The sequence below is a fragment of the Homo sapiens genome, chromosome 14, assembly GCF_000001405.40.
Source record: "Homo sapiens chromosome 14, GRCh38.p14 Primary Assembly".
In the NCBI taxonomy this organism is placed as follows: Eukaryota; Metazoa; Chordata; class Mammalia; order Primates; family Hominidae; genus Homo; species Homo sapiens.
Window position 1 is genome coordinate 95918698 of NC_000014.9, and position 25025 is coordinate 95943722.

At 45.3% G+C, this 25025-nt stretch overlaps 1 protein-coding gene across 3 annotated transcripts in view, besides 1 other annotated feature; it reads left to right on the top strand.

Annotated features, from left to right (window-relative positions):
- Positions 1 to 6874, top strand: part of TUNAR (transmembrane neural differentiation associated intracellular calcium regulator) — a 49124-nt gene extending 42250 nt beyond the window's left edge. For all 3 annotated transcript variants that reach the window (NM_001416133.1, NM_001416132.1, NM_001416131.1), the window contains one exon: positions 4084 to 6874. In NM_001416133.1, the coding sequence (NP_001403062.1) occupies positions 4123 to 4269 (147 nt within the window). In that variant the 5' untranslated portion in view covers positions 4084 to 4122 and the 3' untranslated portion in view covers positions 4270 to 6874. The remainder of the gene's footprint in view (positions 1 to 4083) is intronic.
- Positions 16622 to 16822: a silencer, noted in NCBI's record as "peak2244 fragment used in MPRA reporter construct". NCBI's record gives its function as "represses an SCP1 promoter by STARR-seq MPRAs in K562 erythroleukemia cells {active_cell/tissue: K562}" and the evidence as "EXISTENCE:reporter gene assay evidence [ECO:0000049][PMID:32103011]".

Here is a 25025-nt window from a genome sequence, read left to right on the forward strand (position 1 = left end):
GTCAGAGTTATCTCGAGTTAATTCAGGGAAGAGGCTAAATTAAGCCTTGAAACCAAGCAGCCTCCATGACAGGCGCTTTGTTTTGCTTGAGTGACTGTGATGATGGGTCTTTGGTTATAAAGGCAGCACTAATTGTATCTTCTTATACCAATCCTGGCCATCTATTCCCTGGCCTGTAGAGACTGGGAGATGCCAGGTTGCCCCAGAGCACCCACTCATTCATTCAGCACAATTTTCTTAAGTGCCTGCTCCATGCCCGGCATCACGCTTGGAGGTGGGGATTCAAAAGTCCTTCCTCCAAGGGCTTGCAGTCTTTCTAAGACGACGGATGATAAACCAGAGACTCCATTAGAGACATGACTAGTGCTTGGATAGACATCTGTCCAGGGCAGTAAAGGGAGTGGATTTCTAAGATTCTTACAACAGACTTCTCATGACTTTGTGCAAAGTTTGAGCTGTGGAGTCACCAAAATAAAAAGGGGGGATCCACTAATACCTACAAACTAGCAAACAGACACAACCACTTTGAAAAGCTGTTTAGCAGTATCCACTAATGTCAAACGTATGCGTACCCTGTGCCCGGCAGCTCCTCTTCTAGGTATGTATGTAGTAATAGGAAATGCACGTGTGAATTTTACATTAAAAGAGAAAACTGTAAATAAAAACTGTAGTTAAAACATGCAGCATGCTGCAGTGTTTACGGGGAAATGAAATAGTATCTGCAGTTTAGGCCAAGCATGGTGGCTCACACTTATGATCCCAGCACTTAGGGAAGCTGAGGCAGGAGGATTGCTTGAGCCCAGGAGTTCAAGACCAGCCTAGCAACATAGTGGGACCCAGTCTCTACAAAAAGAAATGTAAAAATTTTAGCTGGGCGTGGTGGTGCACGCTGGTGGTACCAACTGCTTGGGAGGCTGAGGCAGGAGGATCGCTTGAGCCCAGGAGGTCAAGGCTGCAGTGAGCCGTGATCACCCCACTGTACTCCAGCCTGGGCAAAAGAACAAGAGCCTGTCTCAAAATAATAATAATAATAGTAATAATGATATATGTAGTTTAAAATGCACCCAAAAAAGAAGATAGATGAATAAGGAATGGGCAGATATGTGACAAAGCAAGTATGGGAACATGTTAGTAATGGATTTGAGATGGTGAGTTTATGGGTGCTCACTGTAAAATTCCTTCAAATTTGCTGTATGTTAAAAAACTTAATATGAAATATTGGGAAAGATGTATGTATATGCTTGCCCGAATATATATACAAGAATGTTCATAGCAGCATTATTCATAATAGCCCCAAACTTGAAGCAGTGAAAATGCCCATCAGCCATAGAATAGAGACATAAATTTTGGGTGTAGTGATCCAGTGGAATACTGTTCACATATAAGAGTGAACGAGCCACAGCTATACACAACGACGTGAGCAAATCTCACACACAGTGTTGTGAGTAAGAAATCAGACTCAAAAGAGGACATACTGTATGATTCCATTTACGCAGAATTCAAAACCAGGCAAAGCTCACCAATGGTGCTAGAAGCCACAATAATGGTTTTCAGGAGGTAGGGATAGTGATTGGATGGGGCACTGTGGGAGGCCCCTGGGTGCTGGAAGGCTCTGTTTCTTGATCTCGGTGCTAAACAGATATGAAAATGTATCAAGCTGTACATTTAAACTTTGTGCACTTTCCTGTATGTTTACTATACATCATTAAAAGTATACGAGGGGAGAAAAAGCAGGAAAACCGAACGAATCCAACTAGAAGCTTTCCCTAGCTGAGCTGTGGGAGTAGGAACCCACTGTAGGCCTATCTAGTAAACCGAAGTTGTGAAGAATATGAAACTTGCCTTTAGGGTGTTCATTTGTTCACTTATGCACAGTTTCATGTTGCATCAGTTCCTCCATTCTTCACTGATGTGCTTGCCTCTCGTTCATACGGATGTTCATTCACATGTCCTGTCCTCCGGATCCAGAGCCGCTCTGTAAGGTGCGAGCGACCCAGCCCTTTCAGGGGCTCATGTGCACAGGGGGAGGGCATGCAGACGTTTCATTTCCCATCTCATTTCACATTCCCACATTCCTGGATTCCCGTTTGTGATCCTTCCTGGATATGTGCCCTAAGATAGCATTCGAATGAGAGAAACAGAACTGGTAAGATATATATAGGTGTATATAAAGAGATTTATTATACAGAGTTGACTCGTGATTTTGGAGACCAGCAAGTCCTGAGATCCGCAGGATGAGTCAGCAAGCGGGAGACCCAGGATGGCCAGTGGTGTGGTTCCATCTGAAGCCCTGCAGGCTCAAGGCCCAGGAAGAGCTACCTGAAAATCAACAGTTCGAGTCCAAAGGCAGGAAAAAGCCATTGTCCCAGCTTGAAGGCAGGCAGGCAGGAGGAATTTGGGGGAATGTCAGCCTTTTTGTTTCATTCGGGCCTTCAGCTGATTGGTCAGTCACCACCCACATTTAGGACAGTCTGATTTCTTCAGTCTCCCAATTCAAATGTTAATCTCATCCTGACACACACACCCAGAATAACGCATGACCAGCTATCTGGGCGTGCATGACCCAGTCAAGCTGACACATAAATTTAACCATCATCAAACCCTGAAGCGTGAAAAGCCTCCTGGCTCTAAAGGCACAGCCCTCCAGTGGAAGAAATGTAGCTATGGGGCTGGCCTGGTGCACATCACATCACAAGTGGACGGGCTGCCACCACCACACACACTGATCCTATTTTACCTGTGGTTTGGACCAGCAATTGGTAGAAAAGAAGGCTTTGGCTGCCCAGTCTGCCTCCTGGATGGCCATGTTTTCTGTCTTCGAAAATAAAAAGTTATTTTGATTATTGCAATACATACCATGCATACAAAAAGAGTAGCTGGAAGATATGCCTGCAGTTTAAAGGAACAGTTTAAAGCTTAACAGATGGCAGATGACTAGTATCTGAAGGCCACTGGTGCCCCTCCCTCATGGCAGCCTGCTCCACTCTTGCCTGGAGAAAGCCACTCTCCTGAGTTTTGCGCTAGTCACTTTGGTGCTAATCATTCCATTACTTTTTATGAAAATCAAATAGCACATGTCTAAAACAATAGATGACTTGGTTTTGCCTGTTTCGAGCCTTTATAAATCAAATTGTACTGCACAAATTTGTCTGCCATGTGCTCTTTCCCTCCGCTAAGTGTCTGGGCTTTGTTCTTCCTGTTGCCTGTAGTTCTAATTCATTCATTTCACCATCATATAATATTCCATTGTAGAGACTGACCACCACATGTTCATCTGCTCTCCTCTCGGTGCATATCTGGGTAACTTCCAGTTCTCTGCTATGGCAGATGAAGCCCATGGGAGCAGTCCTGTGTCCATGCCTCCAGGTGCACAGAAGTGAGGCCTTCTCTAGGGTATAACCTGGCAGAGCAGGTGCCCAGTGGTAGAATATGTCTGTTCACTTTTCTAGCTAATGCCTGGAAACTTTCTGGAATGATTGTAGCAATATCTGTTTCTACCAGGGATTATGAGAATTTCTCATGGCGTTACTCATCCACACCGTGCATAGACCCTTTACCATCCTGCCTGGTCTCAATGAATCACCTTCCCTGGCTTCCAGCCACCCCTACCCATACCGCAGTCAGAGCTTTAGCATGGTAGGACTGTGATGCCCCATACACACTTTGTGGATACTCAGGACAGCATGTTTCTTGCGTGTAACCCAATATGTGAGAGTATGTGAAATTCCCACCACCAGGATGGAGGGCACAGACTTTAGTTTCACTGCAGTGCAGCTGACCCAGTTTCTCCTTCAAGGGAAGGGGGGAAAACCAGCTCAACAAAGTGGGTGATGCCCGGGTAGACTTCTAGGCTCCTCTCTCTGTACCAATGTCAGGACACTCATCTTCTAAACCAATTAGCCGTGTTCTGCCTTTTTCCCATGGCCAAGAGCAAGGTGTCCCAAGGTAGGATCCTTGTGGGATTTGTCATTCTCCCACCATGTTCTGACCTGCAAGCAGATCACTACCCACTACAGATCTGCCTGGCTATGGAGGGCATGCTTATAAATGATCATCTTTTGTGCTGCCTCTTTCCAATTACAGGTTAGCCTGGCAAGGAAGATAAAGACATTTGCAACCAAGATGGTAATCACTAGTGAAAATGATGAAGACAGAGGAGGTCAAGAAAAAGAAAGTAAAGAGGAGAGTGTCTTGGCAATGCTGGGGATTATCGGGACCATTCTGAACCTGATTGTGATCATATTTGTCTACATATACACCACCCTGTGAATGGCCCAGAGCGTCCTCAGAGGCCTCAGAATGGCCAAAGACGGAAGTCCTGCGTGTCGGCGCATCACTGACCAGACCCTGCGAGAACAAGCAGGCTTGACCCGCACATACCACCCAATCAAATGCACCTTCAAACTTTACAAAAGGTCACACAAATAGACCGATCCTGCTGCAGGGAGCAGACACTAAAGCACAATGATTCCAACAAAACTCATTCACAGCACTAGGAACTCAACGTCTTTGGCAGGGGGCCCAGAAGAATGCTTGGAAGACCAGCCTCTGACACCATCAGTGAGCGGATGGGTGCAGAAATTCATTATTCCAGATCGCTGACAGATATCACATATTTGAAAAGATGAATAGGGCGGACATGGCTCAGATGTGTGTCTCCCAGGACAAGTGTTTCATCTTCACTTGACGAGCTATTTAGTGGAAAAACCACAGGCGCAGCCCTTTGACAGGCATCCCATTCATCAAAAGTGTCTAACTATTTGATACTGGGGAGATAACTTATTTTTCTTTTTTCATTGGCTTGACATGTGTATCTGTTCATGTCAAGGTTTATAAATATATATTTTTAATAAATGTGCTCTATTTTTTAGCATGAACCAAATACTTGGAGAGGCACTCCCAGATCCATAGAGCTTTCCTTAGTTTTATCTGCTTTGTCCCCTCCTCCCCCAACTACAGATGTTCTGTTGTGGAGCCATTCTAGTCCTTTTGTCTCATCTTGAGTCTTTTACCTTGCGCTTTTGTTCTCTCTCTCTCCTCTCTCTCTGCCTCTTTGGTCTGAAGGACATTTTCCCATACTGTCAGCCATGGTTTTGGGTGCATGTTTTAAGATTGTCCATTGAGTGGCTTTTTGTTGTTATCTCGGAGATATAAAATGATTGTGGGCATGCAGACCTTAGATGCACCCTATCTTTACTGAGAATTATGCATGAATAAGGGCTGAGTGATAGATCAGCTTAAAATTAAAAGGACTACCTTTGAGGAAGAAGAGCGTGGCTATATTTGCAGATGAACTTTTGAACAGAATATTCAGCTTCTTACCGGCAGCGTTATTGTTTCATTCTTGTGACCATTCGTTTATCAGATTTTGATTTTAGCGGTCATGTACCGCGAGAGTTGGGAAGAACAAGGGGGAAAGCTCGGGATTAGGTGCATTACTCCTTCCTTTGCAAGATACCTGGGATCCTCCTCAAAAGCGGGTGGGGTATAAATGACACAAGAACTCCCCCAGGAGATCTCATGGTGATTCAGGCTGTGAGGACAGCCCTGTGACAGGTGACTTTTCAGGGACATGAGGAGGGGATTTAATGATTGCCCTAAAGGACTTCTGTATTTTTAAAGCCCCTGGTTTACACCCACATGAAGCTATTTCCTCTCTGGCAGGGATGGTTGCATAAAAACAAATTAGCTCCCTTCTGGCTCCCTGAAATGGGCCCTTGCCTGGCTACAGTGGCATGGCCTTAAAGAGAGGGTTAGTATTCCTTCTGCCATTGCCAGCTGTATTAGTCTGTTTTCACACTGCTGAAAAAGACATCCCCAAGACTGGGCAATTTACAAAGAAAGAGGTTTATTGGACTTACAGTTCCACGTGGCTGAGGAGGCCTCACAATTACGGTGGAAGGTGAAAGGCACGTCTCACATGGTGGCAGACAAGAGAAGTGAACATGTGCAAGGAGACTCCCATTTTTAAAACAGATCTCGTGAGACTTTTTCACTATCATGCAAACAGCATGGGAAACCTGCCCCCGTGATTCAGTTACCTCCCACCGGGTCCCTCCCACAACACATGGGTATTCAAGATGAGATTTGGGTGGGGTTACAGCCAAACTCTATCACCAGCCTTGCCCCTGGGCAGAAGCAGCAGCAGTCTGCCTGGCTGGATTCAAATGATTCTGAGGCTTCTATAGTCTATGCCTGCAGATCTCTCCCTCACCCATGCTATAGTGTCTGAAATTCCACCATTAGAGAGTCATTTCTTGGGCTCTGTTAAATGGACCAGGCTCTTTTATAAAGAAAATGCCCCTGAGCAGCTGGCTCTGGCATTGATTTATGATATCTTCTCTTCCCTGCCAGAAGGAAGGAAGCTAAGGTGCATGTAGGGCGTACTGTGTGCCCAGGCACTGTGCCAGATGCTTTGGATACTTGGAGTCATTGAATTCTTGTAGTAACCCTGTGAGAGAGGGAGTCTTTTCTCCACATTGTAGAAGAAGGAAAAAGGGCTCAGAGAGGTCAAGAAATGTCCCTGAGATCACATGGCTTCTAGTGGAGTCAAGATCCAAACCCAATGTGTCTGATTCCTTAGCCCTTGGGGGTCCGGAGGCTGCTGAACAAGAAAGGAGGTGGAGAGGAGAGAAAGCTGCAGGCATACCACCGCACACCCTTCTCCCTCCCCTGTAAAAACAACCCTGGGAACTCCCTGGACACTAGCAGAATATCATACACTAAGGATAAGGGATGAGAGGAGGCTGGTTAGAAATAAAGCAGTGTCAGGGGGAAGGAGCTACTCAGTAGGCTCTGTGTGATTCTAGAAAGACTGTATGAAAATTCTGAACAGTGAACAGAATAAACAATAAAGGTGCAATGGAAAAAAATACTCGATGTCTTTTCTTTCAACATTGTGGGATATAAAACATTTCAATGTCAGTCCTTTGCCTATACATAGTGTTTATTTATTAAAAAAAAAAACTGAATGTGATGCTGTTAAACGGAGACTATTTTGTGTGGACTATAGAAGCCTCAGTGGTTTTTCAAGTATACGAATTTGAAATGTATTGAGGGGGAAAAGTGCCTTTCCAATCCTCTGCTCCCGGGATGGTTCTTCTAAGTTGTCCTAATCCACAGCCTGGAAATAAAGCTGCCTGTTCAATGTTGAACAGAGCAGTGATGCCCTTTCCCACAGCTCCAGCATGCCCTGTCTTGTTTCCCTTCTAATTTAGTAGAGACCATGAATACACACTGGGCAAACTCATAGCTTCCCCCAGATCTAAAGCCATCGCGAAGGGACGTGGAAGGGAGAGGCTGGCAGTGCCCCTCCATCCTCAACATCTGAGTGAGCCCCAAGCCCAGCCTTGGCCAGCAATAGCAATACCCAAAACAATGCCAGGGCCATCTACTCTACCAAGCACTTTCTACTCATCCTGCTGGGCACAGAACAATCCCATGAGATGTGTGTTTATCCCCACTTTACAAGATGAAGGAAAAAAGCAAATCGACTTTTCTGAAATTGCACAGCCAGAAACTAGCAGAATCAGGTCTTTGCCCCACGTCCACCAGCCGTCAGCACCTTGCCTGCCCCAGGTGGTGTGATGAACCATCTGGCTAGCTCAGTCACAATATACAGATTCCCATCAGCCCTGGCACTTCTTGATCACAATACAGCTGGCCCTGTATTGATCACAATACAACTGATCACAATACAACTGGCCTTTCACCTCTCCTCTGGGAAGGCAACTTTGAAAGGCCGGGTCCTAGCCCCGGAGGGCCAGCCATGCTGCTGGAAGTGTAGCCTGGTGGTTTGGAGCCACAGGGCACTTGCCCTATGGCCAGAAACCTCCTGGTCCTGAGCCCCATCTCTGCCTCTTTCAGTGTAAGTGATGACGGGCAGCTCACAGGAACTCACTCTGAGTTTCAGCTTTCCTCACCTGTAAGAGGGGATAACAACAGTCCCACCTGGCGGAGCTTTGTGAGGATTAAAGGAGCCTGACCAGCTGAAGCTGCCGGCACCACCAGGCCTGGCCCATAGCTCATGCTCAGGTCATGCTAAGCTCCTGCTGCTACATGAAGGCAGCCAGGGAGCCGTTGGGCATACATTTTGGGGGCCCCTTCTGGCCTCGCTCCCTCTAGTCTGCATGCTTCCCTTGCCTGCAGGGAGGACCAGAGAGGGGCCTTATGCCAGCAACAGAAAGGGAAGTTCACATGGCAACTCGGTCCTACTCTTGTTGTCTTTTCATAAATCACACACTCATAGTCACAGTCAAAAAATAATTACAATTCTAAAAACTATATACAAGCACTTTTTAAAATTAAGGTAACTCCCAAATCTCACCACCCAGAAGCAACCACTATTAATATTTAGTGTGTAATTTATAGAGCAGGTGGCTTGTACTATATATATTATATTGTATAGTACACTAGCACTATAGAGCTAGTGTGTAATTTATAGAGCAGCAGGACTCTGTTTGGTGAGTCCATTTTTTCTTGAATTTTGAAATCTCTTTGTCTTTTGGCAGGGCACACTCTTCAGCCACTGCCCCCGTGGCCCCTGCAGTCTTTCAGTGGACAGTTCTCCACATTTCTGTAACTTGGGTCGTAAGATGTTCTAGACGATATCCTTGAATGCCCATCCAGACATTGACCTATAAACAATAGATTGGATATTGTAATTTATAAAAAATGGCCTCATGCTATGAGCAGTGCCTCCAAATAATTTTGTCATTGGCAATTATGAATACGCTTCCACATCAATGGATCTATATGGGCAAGCCCTCGTGATGGTTGTTCAGTGTTCTGTGGTTTAGATGTACCATCACAAATTACCCTGTTCTCTTACTGCTGACCCTTAAGGTCATTGTCAGTGTTTTGCTACGAACCATGCAGCCTTGCTCTTTAAAGCATCCCAAGCATTGTCCATCTCTCCCCCATGATCCCCTAGAGTGGTCTCAGGTAGTGTGCTTTACAGCAAGCTTCAAGGACATATCCCTCTTTCCCTCCCTCTCTGCCTCTCCCTCTCCCTCCATCCCTCTCCCTCCGTCCCTCTCTCCCTCCCCCTTTCCCTCCGTCCCTCTCTCCCTCTCCCTCTCCCTCCATCCCTCTCTCCCTCTCCCTCCATCCCTCTCTCCCTCTCCCTCTCCCTCCGTCCCTCTCTCCCTCTCCCTCTCCCTCTGTCCCTCTCTCCCTCTCCCTCTCCCTCCGTCCCTCTCTCCCTCTCCCTCCATCCCTCTCCCTCCATCCCTCTCCCTCTCCCTCCATCCCTCTCCTTCTCCCTCCATCCCTCTCTCCCTCTCCCTCCATCCCTCTCCCTCCATCCCTCTCCCTCTCCCTCCATCCCTCTCTCCCTCTCCCTCTCCCTCCATCCCTCTCTCCCTCTCCCTCCCTCTCTCCCTCTCCCTCCATCCCTCTCTCCTTCTCCCTCCCTCTCTGCCTCTCCCTCTCTCTCTCCCTCTCCCTCCATTCCTCTCTCCCTCTCCCTCCATCCCTCTCTCCTTCTCCCTCCCTCTCTGCCTCTCCCTCTCTCTCTCCCTTTCCCTCCATCCCTCTCTCCCTCTCCCTCCATCCCTCTCTCCCTCTCCCTCTGCCCCTCTCTGCCACCCCCCTCCCTGCTTCTCCCTCTCCCTCCCTCTCTCCCTGCTTCTCCCTCTCTCTGCCTCCCTCTCTCTGCCTCTCTCTGTCCCTCCCTCTCCCTCTCCCTCCCTCCCTATCTCCTTCTCCTTCTGTTCCTGTCTGCCTCCCCTTCTTCCTCCCTCCCTCTCTGCCTCTGCCTCTCCCTCTGTCCCTTTCTTTATTATTCCTTCTTTCTCTTTCCCCTTCCTCCTCCTCTAAACACCAGGGCCTCGCTCACTTTCCTCTCCTTTACATGTTGCCACCCCCATGCTTAACTCAGGGCCCCTTCCCACCAGCTGCCTGCAGAGCATGAGAAAGCCCACCCCCTTCCCTGTCTCACTGTTCTCCACACCAACAACCCCATTGGCCATTTAGGCACTTTCCTACCAGTGACTTCATGAGCCCAGACTGGCTAGGAGCATGCCACGCATTAAGAAGAGAAAGTTCCAGAGGCCAAATTCCTGATTCCTCTTCCAAAAGAGCTCACCTAGGAGACTTCTGTGGCCTCCATCTCCCTGAAGGCAGGACCCCTATAACAGGACACCTCCAGAAAGATCCCCTTGTGGACCCGGAGACCCTCTGGCACCACTATGCAATGATTCCTCCCTGTCATGGGAAGCAGATGGGATGAACAGACTGTCAATATTTTGTGTTGTTCATAAACATGTTACATAAAACTGTGGATACTTTTCCCAGAAGATGGGCTACATGTTGCCAGGAGAAGCAAGATTACATGGCTGTAAATTTTCTCTTAAAAGACTCTTTGTTAAGAGCCGTATTTGTTTACTTTCTCCAATTCCATTAGGGAGTAATGGGGAAACTTTTCCAGAATGGGGTAAGAGTCATAGTTGCATGTCTCCATGGGAAAGTAATGAAAGGTCCTCGCACCTCCCTCCCTGACACAGCAGCCGCCAGGTACATAGACAGATGCTCAGCTTCAAAGCCGAGACATCCAACACTGTCATCCACCTGTGACTACCAAGAGGACAGCACAACTCAGCATCCTGTTGGGGCAGCAGAAACATCCCACCTCCCAGCCAAGAGCAGGAAGCAGGGGGGTCATAGCTGAATAGCCCTAAGCATTGTAGTTAATCAAAAATAAGAGGACAGCGCTTTTAACTCGTATCTGTCTCATTGGGACTAAAAGAATCAAAGTTAGAACAAACACAGAGAGGTGAATCAGCCTTAATTCTGGCAAGATCCAAAGCCTACACTTTATGTCTCCCTTATCTCATCTTTCTCTTAACCGGGAAGGAGTTTTTTCTAGCACGAAAGGCCAAAGGCACAGATTGACTGACCCACCCATGTGGTCCAGCCACAAATCAAAGCTGCCGAGATGCAGACAGGCTGTTTCATCTCTGAGACCTCGAGCCAGGGAAGGTTGACTTCAGGCGCTTCCTCACGAGCTTGCGCATGCCAGAATGAACAGTGTAGCTTCTGTTGGAGTGGATATGTGGTTAGCTTGCCTAGCCCCTCAGTCAGTTTCCAAAGAGATTCATAATTCTCAGAAACTGGGCAGCCGCCACAGTGCGGTGTCCTGCCAACGGTTACCATAACTCTCTCCCCTTCTTGCCACCCGAGCCTCTGTCGTCCTGACCAAGGTTGGCCATGTTCTTTCTTTTTTTCCGTTTTCTTTCTTTCTTTCTTTCTTTTTTTTTTTCAGACAGAGTCTCACACTGCCATCCAGACTGGAGTGCAATGGTGTGATCTCGGCTCAATACAACCTCCGCCTCCTGGGTTCAAGTGATTCTCCTGACTCAGCCTCCCGAGTAGCTGGGATTACAGGTGCCCACCACCACGCCCGGCTAATTTTTTTGTATTTTTAGTAGAGACAGGGTTTCACTATGTTGGCCAGGCTGGTCTCAAACTCCTGACGTCGTGATCTGCCTGCCTCAGCCTCCCAAAGTGCTGGGATTACAGGCATGAGCCACTGCGCCCAGCTGTGGCCATGTTCTTTCTTTGGTAACTTTGTTTTCATTTCTAAAGAGCTCGCTTTAGTGTTTTTAGTTCTAAAGACTATACTATAGAACTTTGGGTTCTGAAGTTCTGAGACTGCCTCAGTGTTGAAGAGTCGTGTGAACTCAGCTTCAAGAGGCTGTTCTGGTTTGATATTGGCTTGGCCACCCAAGCTGTTGATAGTTCTCACCTATCCCATTTTCCTCCAGAAAAGTTGGAGGATAATTCCATTGCCTGTGAGTACTAAAGCAATAAGTGTGTGCAGAAAGCCGATCCTCACTCTTCAAGGACCACCCCCCTTTTTTTCTGAGGGCCAGGAAGTTATCCAGAAATGGAACTGGGATTCAGAAGCAGAAAACCTGTGTTCAAGTCCCAACACGGCCACATATTGGCTATTGATCTTGGATCACACCCTCAGTGTTGCTGAGCCTTCATTTTCTTGTTTTGAGTTTAATAATTCTGATCTCTCAGTGTTGTGTGGATTACATCTTTATATATCATTTGGGGAACTGAGAAGTATGTTCTTCTGCTAGCAGTTAATCACAGAAATTACAAATTATATAGAGATGATACATAGATAAATAAAAAGTAAATACATAGCAGAGATTAAAGAATATATAGAGATAGATATATTTAGATAGATATGTGTATTTAAATTTTTTCACTGAAGAATCATAAAGATACAAGATTCAGATGCAATAATGTTTCAAAATCCTTTTATTGTCAAAATTAAGTGTAGTTTCACCTGGGTTGGTAGCAGAGGTCTATGTGATTGGAAAACTAAATATTAGGAACTTGGAAGTAGCTACATACTGAAATGTGAGCACAATGATCTCTTCATCAGTGATTTGTGATTTAAACTCTATCTTCTATCCACAAAGAGAACAAGCAGAGATATATTTATTCATAAGGCAAAGGTGTGTGTGTTGCAATTTCAGAGCACTCTGTGTAGACAGATACCTTAACCCCTTTGTTCCAGGTGGTCCTCAGAAGAATCTTTGTGGAGTGGATGGGACAGGACACCATGCATCAGTCATGGTCAGAAGTTAACCATATCCTTCCTGTGCTCCCAGGCCAGTGCTCACGTCTCCTCCTCTGCCTCTTACTTTTGCAGAGGAAGACAGAGACATAATCAGTCACAGCTGCTGGAAGAGGTCACCATAGTGTTCTGGGTCTCTTGCAGCAGCCCAGAGGGCTAGGTGTGACCAGCTTCAAGTTAAAGACAAGCAAACTGAGGCAAATAGAGTGTAAGTCATCCAAATTCCACAGCTGGTGAATGGCAGAGCTGGGACTTGAATCAGCATTGTCTGGTCCAAAGGCTTTGAACTTTGGACTCATGTTGCTAAAGAATTCCAGCAGTTCCTCCCTGGGGTGAAAGGTGGGCTTAGACTGACCTCACAGGACTATGGGCACACATGCATTCTGGGAAAGAACCCAGTATCTCAGTGTCTATGGACTGAATGTTTGTGTCCCCTTCAACCCCCACAGCAAATTTAAATGTTGAAGCCCTAATTTGCTAATCACCAATCTGAAAAGGTAGGACCTTTAGGGAGTTAATTAGGTTTAGATAAGGTCATGAGGATGGGGTCCTCATGAGAGATTACTGCGCTTATAAAAAAGACCTCAGAACTGTGAGAAGTGTTAATTGTTTAACTCACCTAGTCTGTGGTATTGTTTTTTGTTATAGCAGCCTAAACTAAGGCACAAGTGCATGTATCTCTTTCATCACTTGTAATTTTAGAATTCCAGCTGATGCTCCCTACTGTACCCAGAAAACACACACAGTGGCTTCCCACGGAATCTCATAGAGACCCTCAGTGAGCCCTCCCCCAATACTGAAGACAGCTTCCTCTGAGATAACAGGGTTTATTGGCTCCTTTATTTATTCATCCAACATGTATGGAATACCAACTGTGTGCCAGGCACCATGCTAGGCTTGGAGGCTCCAGAGATGCCTGTGGCATGGTCTCTAGCCATGAGAAGAAGGTAATTCATAGTCTAGTCAAGGAGACAGATATATAACTATCCTATTACCCAAGATGGCTTATTCTGCCTAGGACAAGATGGAAAATCATGAGATCCTTCCTAGGAGAGTTAGACTTGAAGAACGAGTAGGATTTTGTCATGGTACTAAAGGTAGAAGATGTTTGAGCCAGAGGAAACATCAACTATCAAGGTACCAAAGTGGGAAGGAGAACAAGGCTGTCCTCAGCCCCAGGGAAAACTGTTGCCACAGATGCCAGGACACATATCTCATTTCTTTCTCTTTCAGACCTGGTGTTTTGGGGCTTTTTATCTCAAAATTTCCTCAAAGTATGGGTTTTGAAAAAAATCCAGGTTCACATGATTTGTCCCAGAGTTGACATTTTGTGATCTAAGTGAGTTGCCTTCCATTGGTTGGACACCATCAATGTTCATTAATGTGCCATCATCTTGACAGCCAGCCTCAACTTCTAAAATATTTATGAAGCCTGAGATGGGCCCTTATTTACACACTAAAATATTTAACTACCAAAGATGAACAAGATCTGCAAAGAGTAGGCTGCAGCCCTGGGTTCAAACTGGCTCCGTTTTGCACCAAAGCACTCTTAAAACCAGCTATTTTGTTAGAAATCAAATATTAATATAAAGGGTGAATAATTCATTGGTAAGTCTGAGTTCCCGAGAAGTTCCATCGAAATCCCCAAGAGGAGATTTTGGTGCAGCAGTGACTATATATAGACTCAGCTCTTTCCACCAAGTTCAAAATGAGAGATGCTGGCTCAGAGCATGGGCTCTTTAACTAGGCTACATGGGTTTTCACCCAACTCTCACTTACTTGCTGTGCCAAATGTCTTCTATTTGTCCCTATAAATCACCCTCTACCCTTCACACTCTGCCCTGTGCTCCAACAGGCTGAACTCTATGGACTGCAGCAACAAATACCGTGGACCTGTGCCTTCCAGTTGTTCAACCAATGGAAAGCCCTGGCAACCACTGCAGAAACTGAGAAGAAACAGGCTGAGAAATGTGTTTTCCCAGCTCCCTGTCTCCCTGCTGGATCACTATGGGCTCAACCAAAGGCCACATCTCCTCTCAGGTGGACTGTCTACATGGCTCCCTCTCTAGGCTCTAGTAACTACTACCTCCTCTCACTCCTTCAGACCTAGCAGTGCCTCAGCTTCCTGGGTTACTAGCCCCAGGGTACTGCACCATCACTTGTTGCTTGCCCTAAACTCTGGTCATACATTTGCGTTAAGTTCAAACTTATAAAATTGCTATTTTTGAAAGTCAAAAATCAACAAATATTGGCAGTCTCATGTTTCAACCTCATATATTGCTCTTTTATTAAACTTGCTTTAATTTGTATGTGTTACCTATTTTCTACAACAACCTTAACTAATACAAAAGGTATGTGACTAGTTAATCGACTTTGCCTCAGTTTCCTCAGTTTGCCTCAGTTTCCTCATCTATAAGATGGAGGGAATAATAGTAGAACCTGCTTTAGAAAGTTGTTCTAAGGATCAAGTAAGCTAATGTACACAAGAAGGGTGTGTAAAACAATGTCTGGCAACAAAAACGTGCTCAGTAGGTGTTGTGGGAAGAGATATTCGAGATAGAAAAATCAGAGGAATGGGTGTATGGCTTAATAACAGACTGGGCAGAAAGAAGGTGACATCCTCTGCAACACCCAAAGGAGAAGAATATAAATAATTTACATTTATGTACATTATTCTACTGCTCAGAAAATTTATGCCTATGTTCTATTTTAACCACTTAATTAAAAATCTATTAGATGCCTACTATATTGCTGCTGGTCGCTATAGAAATATAACAGAGAGCCCATCAGGGACCCTCATCTACATATCCTCATCTCCTGAAAAGACACAGACAAAGAGGCTGAAAATGACATTACAGAGTCCTGTGAAGTGCAATGATGAGAAAAGTCAAAGATGACACAGGGAGCACTGACCACAGATTTGGAGAGTTACAAGATGGCTTCTCACAGAAGGAAATGTTTCCTCTCTGACTTGAAGGAGAAGTAGGAATTATCCAGGCACAGGGTCCAGACGATAGAATAGTATTCCCAAGAGAGGGAACAGCATTCCAGAAAGCTAAGAAATGAGAGAATGTGGAATATATAGAGGAGTAAAAGAAGTTGAGTGTGGCTGGCTCAGTTCCTTGTTGCCTAAGTCAGTCCCTGGTACACAATAGGTGCTCAATGATTAATGAAGAAACAGAAATTACAGACACATCTCTAATACATTCACACAAGGAAGACAATATTCTCCAAGTGGAGTGATTTGTCTCCCCACATGTTTATTGGACCTTATTGCTTACCTCACAGAAGAACAACTCCCTGTACATGTTGTGTAGCCCATTTCCTGCCCACCCAATCACTCATCTTTCCTTTATCAGAATTCAGAAACAAAGATGCAAATCTCTGGAGGATCTCTGGAGCTCAGGAGGCAAGATTAAAAGGAGAGCAAACTGCTGGAGGCCAGGCCTTTGAGGAAGATCCTTTGAAGGCAATTCACTCATTCATCCACTTACTTACTTGTTGATTTATTTATTCACTCATTCAACAGATACTAGTTGAGTGCCTGCTGTATGTGCTGGTAGCTGGCCAGTGCCACACCAATAAACAGTATAGATACATAACCCATTATCATGGCAAGCTATGTCTGTGAGTATAAGCCCAGGTGATTAGGTAGAATGGCCAGGTAGGGTCAGAAGGAGACAACCAGTGCAGACTCTTGCAGACTGTTGTCTTTGGCTCTGACAGCTAAGGGTAGGTTCCTGTGGGAGTGGCCTTTGGTCAGGGAGCCAGGGTGAAACCTACAACTGAATTGCCAGGGCAATATAAAGCATCATTATCTAGTGTAAAAAAGCAAGGAATCTGAGGTCAAAAGATCTGATTTAACTCTGACTTCCCCACTTGCTAACTGTGCGACTGAAAATGGGTTGCTTCACCTCTGACATTTAGTCCTCTTTTATGTGAAAAACGGGAATAATCACACACCCCTTGCTGTGTAGTTGTGAGAATTAAATAGGATCAGGTATGAAAAGTGTATGGCACATAGAAGTCACTCCACAAATTGTAGTTTTTACCATTATAAAAACAGTTTTAATTTCACTTCCATTGACCACAAACCCTTATTCCATTTTGGTGACTGGAAGGAGCTCTCCATGGTGCTGATCTATTTTGCAGCAGCTGGGAGCCTGCCCTGTGTTAAGAAGAAAAACCTTTGTCAAGAAGAAAAGTGGCATCCACAGCAAGATAGAACACATATGTGTTCCCGAAAAGATACTCCACCAAGGATTTCTCCCATACTCACTGCTCACATGGAAGTACCATGCCCAAATTGCAAGAAGTAAACCAAAAGAAAGTACCAGTTATACAAAGACTATTCTTGAAAACATCACTATGATGGGAAGCATCACAGTGAGAATAATAATAGAAAAGAAAAATAAGAATAACATCACAATAGTAGGAGTAATATTAAACAGCAAGAGGCAAAATGCTATGGTGGTTAAGAATGCAGTTTCCAAAGGCAGGACTCTTAACTCCAAATCCCAGCTATGTAGACCTTCAATGAGTTACTCAAATTCTCTGAGCTTCCTCATCCACAAGCAGAGACAAAATAGTTCCTGCCTCATAGTGTCATTGTAATGATTAAGTTACATAGTGTCATGATTATAATTCCTTTATGCCAGACACAACTCTAACTACCTTTCATACCTTAAGTCAATTAATGTAGGATTAATTGACATTAAGTCAATTAATGTATGAAAGGTACTTAGAGTTGTGTCTGGCATAAAGGAAACACTCAATAAGCATTAGCTGTTAGCACGGTAGTAAGAACTTTTAGCACAATTGGTAAGCAGCGCTGAGGGAAGCATTGTATGCACATTATTTCTTAGCACCTCAACAACATGCAGTGACCAATTATCAACACAGATTGCATGTACTACATGCCAGGCACTGTCATACTTCCAGGCACCCTGGTTTCCTCAGCTCCTGGCACAGGGCCTTCCATACAGTGAATGCTTCCAGTACATGGGAGTTAAAATAAACTGAATTTATCTGAATTAGAAAGAAAATGCCTTCAAATCCAAAGCTACTTGCCAGCATAGCCCATGCACTTAGGAGGAAAATGCCACATAGAAAGTAACCAAAATTCTACCCCCCTTCTCCCCCCACCACCAACCCCCTCTGGAAGAGGCAGCTGAGACTTTCTCACTAAAGAAATTAATCCTGCCGAGAAATAAATCCCCAATGAGCTTCCCAAGGAGACCCTTAGCAAACCACGGTTAGACACTGGCAGGAGTTTCTTCCTGTGGAAGTCCCATTGAGTCACTGCTGAATTCTTTTCTCCTGTGCAGCAGTTTGCCTGAGCCTGAGAGATGGCCAGCAATTACAGGAGAGTAAATATTTCAGCAGTACAGAGTCAGACTTCTCAACAGCCGATAGGAAACCGTTTCTCTTTCCTTTAAACAGTTTATTAAAATACAAGGTTAAACCCAGCAAGGGAATACATTTTTCTGCAGCCTCCTCCAATTAACAAGTTATTTCCATGCTGAAGTTTTTCTTGCTTTAGCAAAACCTCTGCATAAACTGTAGGAAGAGTGCTTTCCCCTCAGGGGACCATGGGGGTTCTGAACTTGGAATCAATTAGATTCCGAGCCCAACTGTCCTATGATTTCTCTGGGCAACCTCAGGCAAATCACTTTTCAACTGCCTGAATTCAAGTTCAAGAAAATGGGGACAGCAACACCGACCTGCTTAGCTCCTGTGAGATGGTAAAGCATGTGGACGTAGCTAACTTGAGAGCCAGTGCACTGAAGGCAATTGGCGAACTTTGCTGCTACCCAAAATCCACTCCTCCCTTCTTCTCACCTTTTATCCGCAGCCCCAAGGCATGAATTCTGAATGATACATGTCAGTATGATAAACCTATTTCTCTGCCAGGACTGGTTTGAGAACGGATATAGGGCATAATTTATTGGCCAGTGAGACATGAAGGAAAATCTGTTGGGGAGCTTCTGGAAAGGGTGTCATCACTTTCCAAAGGGATACCTCAAGAGGAAGGATGTAAATGTGGTTTGATGTTTTGTATTACTGAAGTTTGGTGTCTATCTGTGATGTCTGGAAGTGCTGCAGCCATCTCGTGACTATGAGGAGATAAGCTTGGGAATAAAAGCTACCATAAAAAAATGACAGAACATAAAGATGGAAAAGACCAGGGGCTCTGATGACACCTGAGTGTCTGAGTTAAACAACACTGACTCTACCCTGCTTTTGGATCCACTCCAATTTCTGGTTATGCAAAATGGTTCCTTTTTTGTTTAAGCCACTTTTAATGGAGCCATCTATTACATGCAGTTGAAATCATCCTAATAAGAACACCAATCAAGAATGAAATATCAGACTTAGGGCATATTTTATCATGGAAATGTCACCTCTCTACCCAGCTAGCCAGTGGCCAGCAAATCTTTAATGAACACCATGAACACCTATTATACATGCATAGCTTGCATGTCTACAATGTAATATAAAGTAAGATAAAGAAAAATACCAGGACACCTTTCCTCTCAAAAGAAAAATGAACTTCAAGAAAATAGGGACAGCAACACCCACCTGCCATTTTATTTATTTATTTATTTGTTTTGAGACAGGGTCTTGCTCTGTCACCCAGGCTGCAGTGCAGTGGCACAACCATGGCTTACTGCAGCCTCAACCTCCTGGGCTCAAGCGATCCTTCCCACCTCAGCTTCCCAGATAGCTGAGACTACAGGCATGCACCACCATACCCAGCTAATTTTTAAAATTTTTTGTAGAGATGGGGGCCTCACTCTGTTGTCAGGGCTGGTCTTGAACTCCTAGGCTCAAGAGATCCTCTTGCTTCTGCCTCCCAACGTGCTGGGATTACAGGTGTAAACCACTACACTTGGCTCAAGCCATTTTATATCTAAGATACAAATCATAGAGATGGTGACGATGATGAGAATGAGGATGATATTTGTGCCCATTCAAATTTTAAGTTGCAGACAACAGGATCTACTCTATCTGGTTTAAATGGAAGAGGAATTTATTAAAGATTGTTAAGAGCTTGCAGAATCTCCAAGAGGGCCAGAGACTGGGGCCTGGAGACCACATGCCCAGGAACGATTTCCAAATCGCCTGTTTGCACTGCTTGTAGCTCACTTGGATCTCATGGCCTCTGGCTACAGGCCCTGCAGACGCCAAGCACAGGACACAGCTGCTGCATCCTTGGGCTCTGCCAGAACTGAGATCTGGATGCTGCCTCTGCCTCATCCTTCACCATCCTCATCAAGAAAGGATTGCATGTGGGGTCTGTGTTTTTATGTTTCCTTCTTCCAAATCAAGGCCTTGCATGGATGCCTCTGATGGCCTGCATCTAGGCAACGTTCTTAGAAATGGCTGGGAAATCGACTTCTAGCTTACTTGAAGAGGAGAGACTTAAAAATGTGGGAATTTCCCCTAATATAGGAAAAATGTTCAGAAATGTTAAGTGATATGACAAGTGTTCATTATACCATCTATTCAGTACTTTGATTTAGCTGGAAAACTTTTGGACAAGCTGACAGAGGGTTGGGGAGCACCAATTTTAGGGGTAGTAAGTGGTTGGGTCACCAAACTAAAAAGCTGAAGATGCAGGTTCATATCTTAGCTCCATCACTAACCAACTGGGACCAAGCAACTGCCTGGACAATTGATGATGACCTGACAAGCACCCCTGAGGCTCAAATGAGTCAGCCTTCTGCGTCTGGTGCCGTGAACTCTCATGCTCCCTGTCGAGGGCTTGGAGACAGGGAAGCTGAGTCTCACTCTTGCTTTATTGGCTAATTGGCTGAATGACCTTGAGAATGCCATTCTTGGGCCTTAGTCTCCACACTTTTTAAATAGTGGGTTGAGCTAGGTTGTGTCTAGGGGTTCTTCCTACTCCATTTCTTGTCCCTAGAAAGATGTCACATCTGATGACTCTTTAAAGTACTTCTGGTTACGGTAGCAATAATTCCCCATTTGGTGTTGTCCCATTTGTAGGACTCACCGAAAAACAGCTTGCCCAAGAAAATTTGATTTTCAGGCATTAGTAAACTTGCACCAAATATTTCCCAAACTTAAAGTGACCAAGAAGTGTTTTGCAAACAGAGCACCACGTCAACACCTTCTAATAATACAGCAATCTCTCCCCAAAGACATGCCACTGACCTGTGGCAGGCAGCTGCCCACTGACTCATCCACCCTCAGAAGACAGATGGCTCGGCCTTGAAGGCCAGCCTCGGCCAGCCTGTACATGATGAGCCACTCACTTCCAGCGTATCCAGGGATGCTCTCCACACAGGCTCCAGGCAACTTTATCTTTCACCCTAGGAAACCCATGCACTATAAATACAGCAGTCTCTGTCTCTGGTGAACCCAACTCCCAGCCTTTCACAGACATATCACAAAGACTGACATCTCCATTCCCACACTAACGAGAGAGCACAGACTACACACACTCCACCCGCCATATCCATCTGGTGGCTGGACCATGTTTCACTTAGCTTTCCTGTTTCTGAGCGCTTGACAAGGAACGTGAGAGTCCATGGCTCCAGATGCAAAAGACTAACTCCTTTGAATGATTTTTGACCATGGACAAGCTCCTATGTCTCTTTCTGAGCCTCAGTTTTTCTATCTCGCAAATCAGAGTTAAAAATATCCAACACAAAGAATTAGCCAGTGAACGTGTGTAGAAGCCCCTAGCCTGGTGTTGGGCACTTAGCACGTGCTCAGTAAATGTAGCTTGCCTTTATTTCTTCAACGTCTTCTTAGTATCTGGAACCCACTCTCTTTTTAGGGGGTGCTCCCATGTGAGTGTCCACCCCTCCGCATATGTGGTCCCGCCTTCAGACCTGTCTCCTGGTGCCTTCAAGGCTCCTTCCAGGACTAAACTTCCAGGATCCTCACCCTGCCTGTAGTCAGAGCAGTGACCTGTCCAATGAGCTAAGCAGATAGTTCAAGCTAATTAGTCAATTATGGCAGCATGCATGATGTAAATAATGAATTACGAGACTGTTCACTGACAAAACATTAACCCGAAGGAGGTAGTGCTGTGGGCCCCCATCCACAGGACTCATGGAGCCTGTAATTCCAATTTATATATATATATCTTTCTCTCTCTGTGACACACACACACACACACACACACACACACACACAGAGTTAGGAGGTCCCAGAGAGCTGGCATGGTATCATTTGTGTCCTTATGATGTCTGTGACCAGAAGCTGGGCTACTTATGGGTGAGGGTCTGCATCCACCAAAATGTCAGTCAGAGGGATGCACACACCATGAGAACCAGGAGGCTGAGTCCAGGCCACTGCCCTGCCCTGACTTGCTGCTGCAAGATTTTGGGGAACAACCCTCCTCCTCCTGTCAGCTTTCTTTTCATCTCAGTAACATAGCTGATGTCCATTGAGCATGCGGTATGAGCCAGATGCTTCACTGGGCTCCATGTGCATTTGCACATTCAGTCATCTCTGTAGCCCTGTGAAAAGATCTCATGGCCATCCCCATTGACATGAGAGGAAACTGAGGCACAGCTCCAGGTCACACAACTGCTAAGTGCTAACTTAGGGGTCTGCATATATCCAATACCCCATGGCTACACCCCCCTACACACCCATCATAGGCAACTGAAGACTCCAAGAGGAGAGAGCGTTCTGTTGACTCCAGTCACTGGAAATAAACACTTTTGCATGACTGATATGGTTAGGCTTTGTGTCCCTCACCCAAATCTCATCTTGAATTATAATCCCCATAATCCCCATGTGTCAAGGGAGAGACCAGGTAGAGGTCATTGGATCATGGGGGCAGTTTCCCATATGCCATTCTCATGATAGTGACTGAGTTCTCACAAGATCTGATGGTTTTGTAACTGCTGGTAGTTCCTCCTGCATTCATTCTCCTTCCTGCCACCTTCTGAAAAAGGTACCTTGCTTCTTCTTCACCTTCTGCCATGATTGTAAGTTTTCTGAGGCTTCCCCAGCCATGCTGAACTGTGAGTCAATTAAACCTGCTTCCTTAATAAATTACCCAGTCTCAGATAGTTCTTTTTAGCAGTGTGAAGATGAACTAATACAGTAAATTGGCACTGCAGAGAGTGGGATACTGCTATAAAGATACCCAAAAATTTGGGAGTGACTTTGGAACTGGGTAACAGGCAGAGATTGGAACAGTTTGGAGGGCTCAGAAGACAGGAAGATGTGAGAAAATTTGGAACTTCCTGGAGACTGGTTTAATTGATTTGACCAAAATGCTTATAGTGATATAAACAGTGAAGTCCAGGCTGAGGTGGTCTCAGATGGAGATGAGGAGCTGCTTTTTGGGAACTGGAATAAAGGTGATTCTTGCTATGCTTTAGCAAAGAGGCTGGTGACATTTTGCTTCTGCCCTAGACATCTGTGGAACTTTGAACTTGAGAGAGATGGTTTAGAGCATTTGGCGGAAGAAATTTCTAAGCAGCAAAGCATTCAAGAGGCAATCTGGGTGCTCTTAAAAGCATTCAGTTTTATGGATTCACAAAAGGATGGTTTGGAATTGGGACTTATGTTTAAAAGGGAAGCAGAGCATGAAAGTTCAGAAAATTTGCAGCCTGATGACGTGATTGAAAAGAAAAACCCATTTTCTAGGGAGAAATTCAAGCCAGCTACAGAAAATTGCATAAATAATGAGGAGTTAAATGTTAATCACCAAGACAATGGGGAAAATGTCTCCAGGGCATGTCAGAGGTCTTCACAACAGCCCCTCCCATCACAGGCCCGAGGCCTAGGAGGAAAAAATGGTTTCCTGGGCTGGACCCACTGTCTTGCTACTTTGTGCAGTCTTGGGACCTGGTGCTCTGCATCCTAGCCATGGCTAAAAGAGGCCAATGTACATCTCAGGCAATTGCTTCAGAGAGTGCAAGCTCAAAGCCTTGGCAGCTTACACATGGTGTTGGGCCTGCAGGTGCACAGAAACCAAGAATTGGGGTTTGGGAACATCCACCTAGATTTCAGAGGGTATATGGAAATGCCTGGATGTCCAGGCAGAAGTTTGCTGCAGGGGTGGAGTCCTTATGGGGAACCTCTGCTATGTTCCCCTCTGCTAGGACCCCAGAATGGTAGATCCATTGACAGTTTGCACCATGCTCCTGGAAAAGCCACAGACATTCAATGCCATCCTGTGAATGCAGCTGGAAGAGGAGCTATACCCTGCAAAGCCACAGGGTTGGAGCTGCCCAAGGCCATGGGAGTGCACCTCTTGCATCAGCATGATCTGGATGCAAGACATGAAGTCAAAGGAGATCATTTTGGAGCTATAAAAATTAATGACTGCCCAGCTGGGTTTCGGACTGGCATAGCACCTGTAGCCCCTTTGTTTTGGCTAATTTCTCCCATTTAGAATGGAACATTTACCCAATGCCTGTACCACTGTTGTATCTTGGAAGTAACTAACTTGCTTTTGATTTTACAGGCTCCTAGGAAGAAGGAACTTGCCCTGTCTCAGATGAGACTTTGGACTTGGACTTTGGGTTAATGCTGCATTGAATTAAGACTTTGGGGGACTGTGGGGAAGGCATGATTGGTTTTGAAATGTGAAAGTGACATGAGACTTGGGAGGGGCCAGGGACAGAAAAATATGGTTAGGCTTTGTGATCCCACCCAAATCTCATCTTGAATTATAATTCCCATAATTCCCACATGTCAAGGGAGAGACCGGTTGGAGGTAAATGGATCATGAGGGCAGTTTCCCCCATGCTATTCTTGTGATAGTGAGTGAGTTATCATGAGATCTGATGGTTTTATAAGTGTTTGGTAGTTCCTCCTGTGTTCATTCTCCTTCCTGCAGCCTTCTGAAGAATGTGTTTTGCTTCCCCTTCACCTTCTGCCATGATTGTTAATTTCCTGAGGTCTCCCCAGCCATGTGGAACTGTGAGTCAATTAAATCTCTTTCCTTTATAAATTGCTCAGTCTAAGGCAGTTCTTTATAGCAGTGTAAAAAAAGACTAATACAATGACACAGGTTTAGGGAATCCCTTCCTGAAAGTGTCACCTAAATAAAAAAGAAGTGTGATCATCATGGCTTTCCACCCACATCTGCCAGGTTTTGCCATGGCTACTTGGCAGAGAGCTTCAGTGCCACTGCTTTGCAGCCAGAGGCACCTGAGCATCAATCCTAACTCACCATGCTGCCTTTAGACACAGGCTTTTACCCTATCTGAGGTTCAGTTTCCCCATTTGTATAGTGGGCCTAATTCTCTATGTCAATGGCATCCTTGGGGAGGATCAAACTTCCCAGTGTGGAAAGGGCTGAGCAAGGGGCCTGCCTCATAGAAGCTACTCAGCAGCTACTGCCATTGTGGAAACTGACTGGCCCTTGCCAGTCATAAAGCAGGCTCAGCCAGTTTTCTGACAAAGGGATGGATTTCCTTACAGTTTTAAA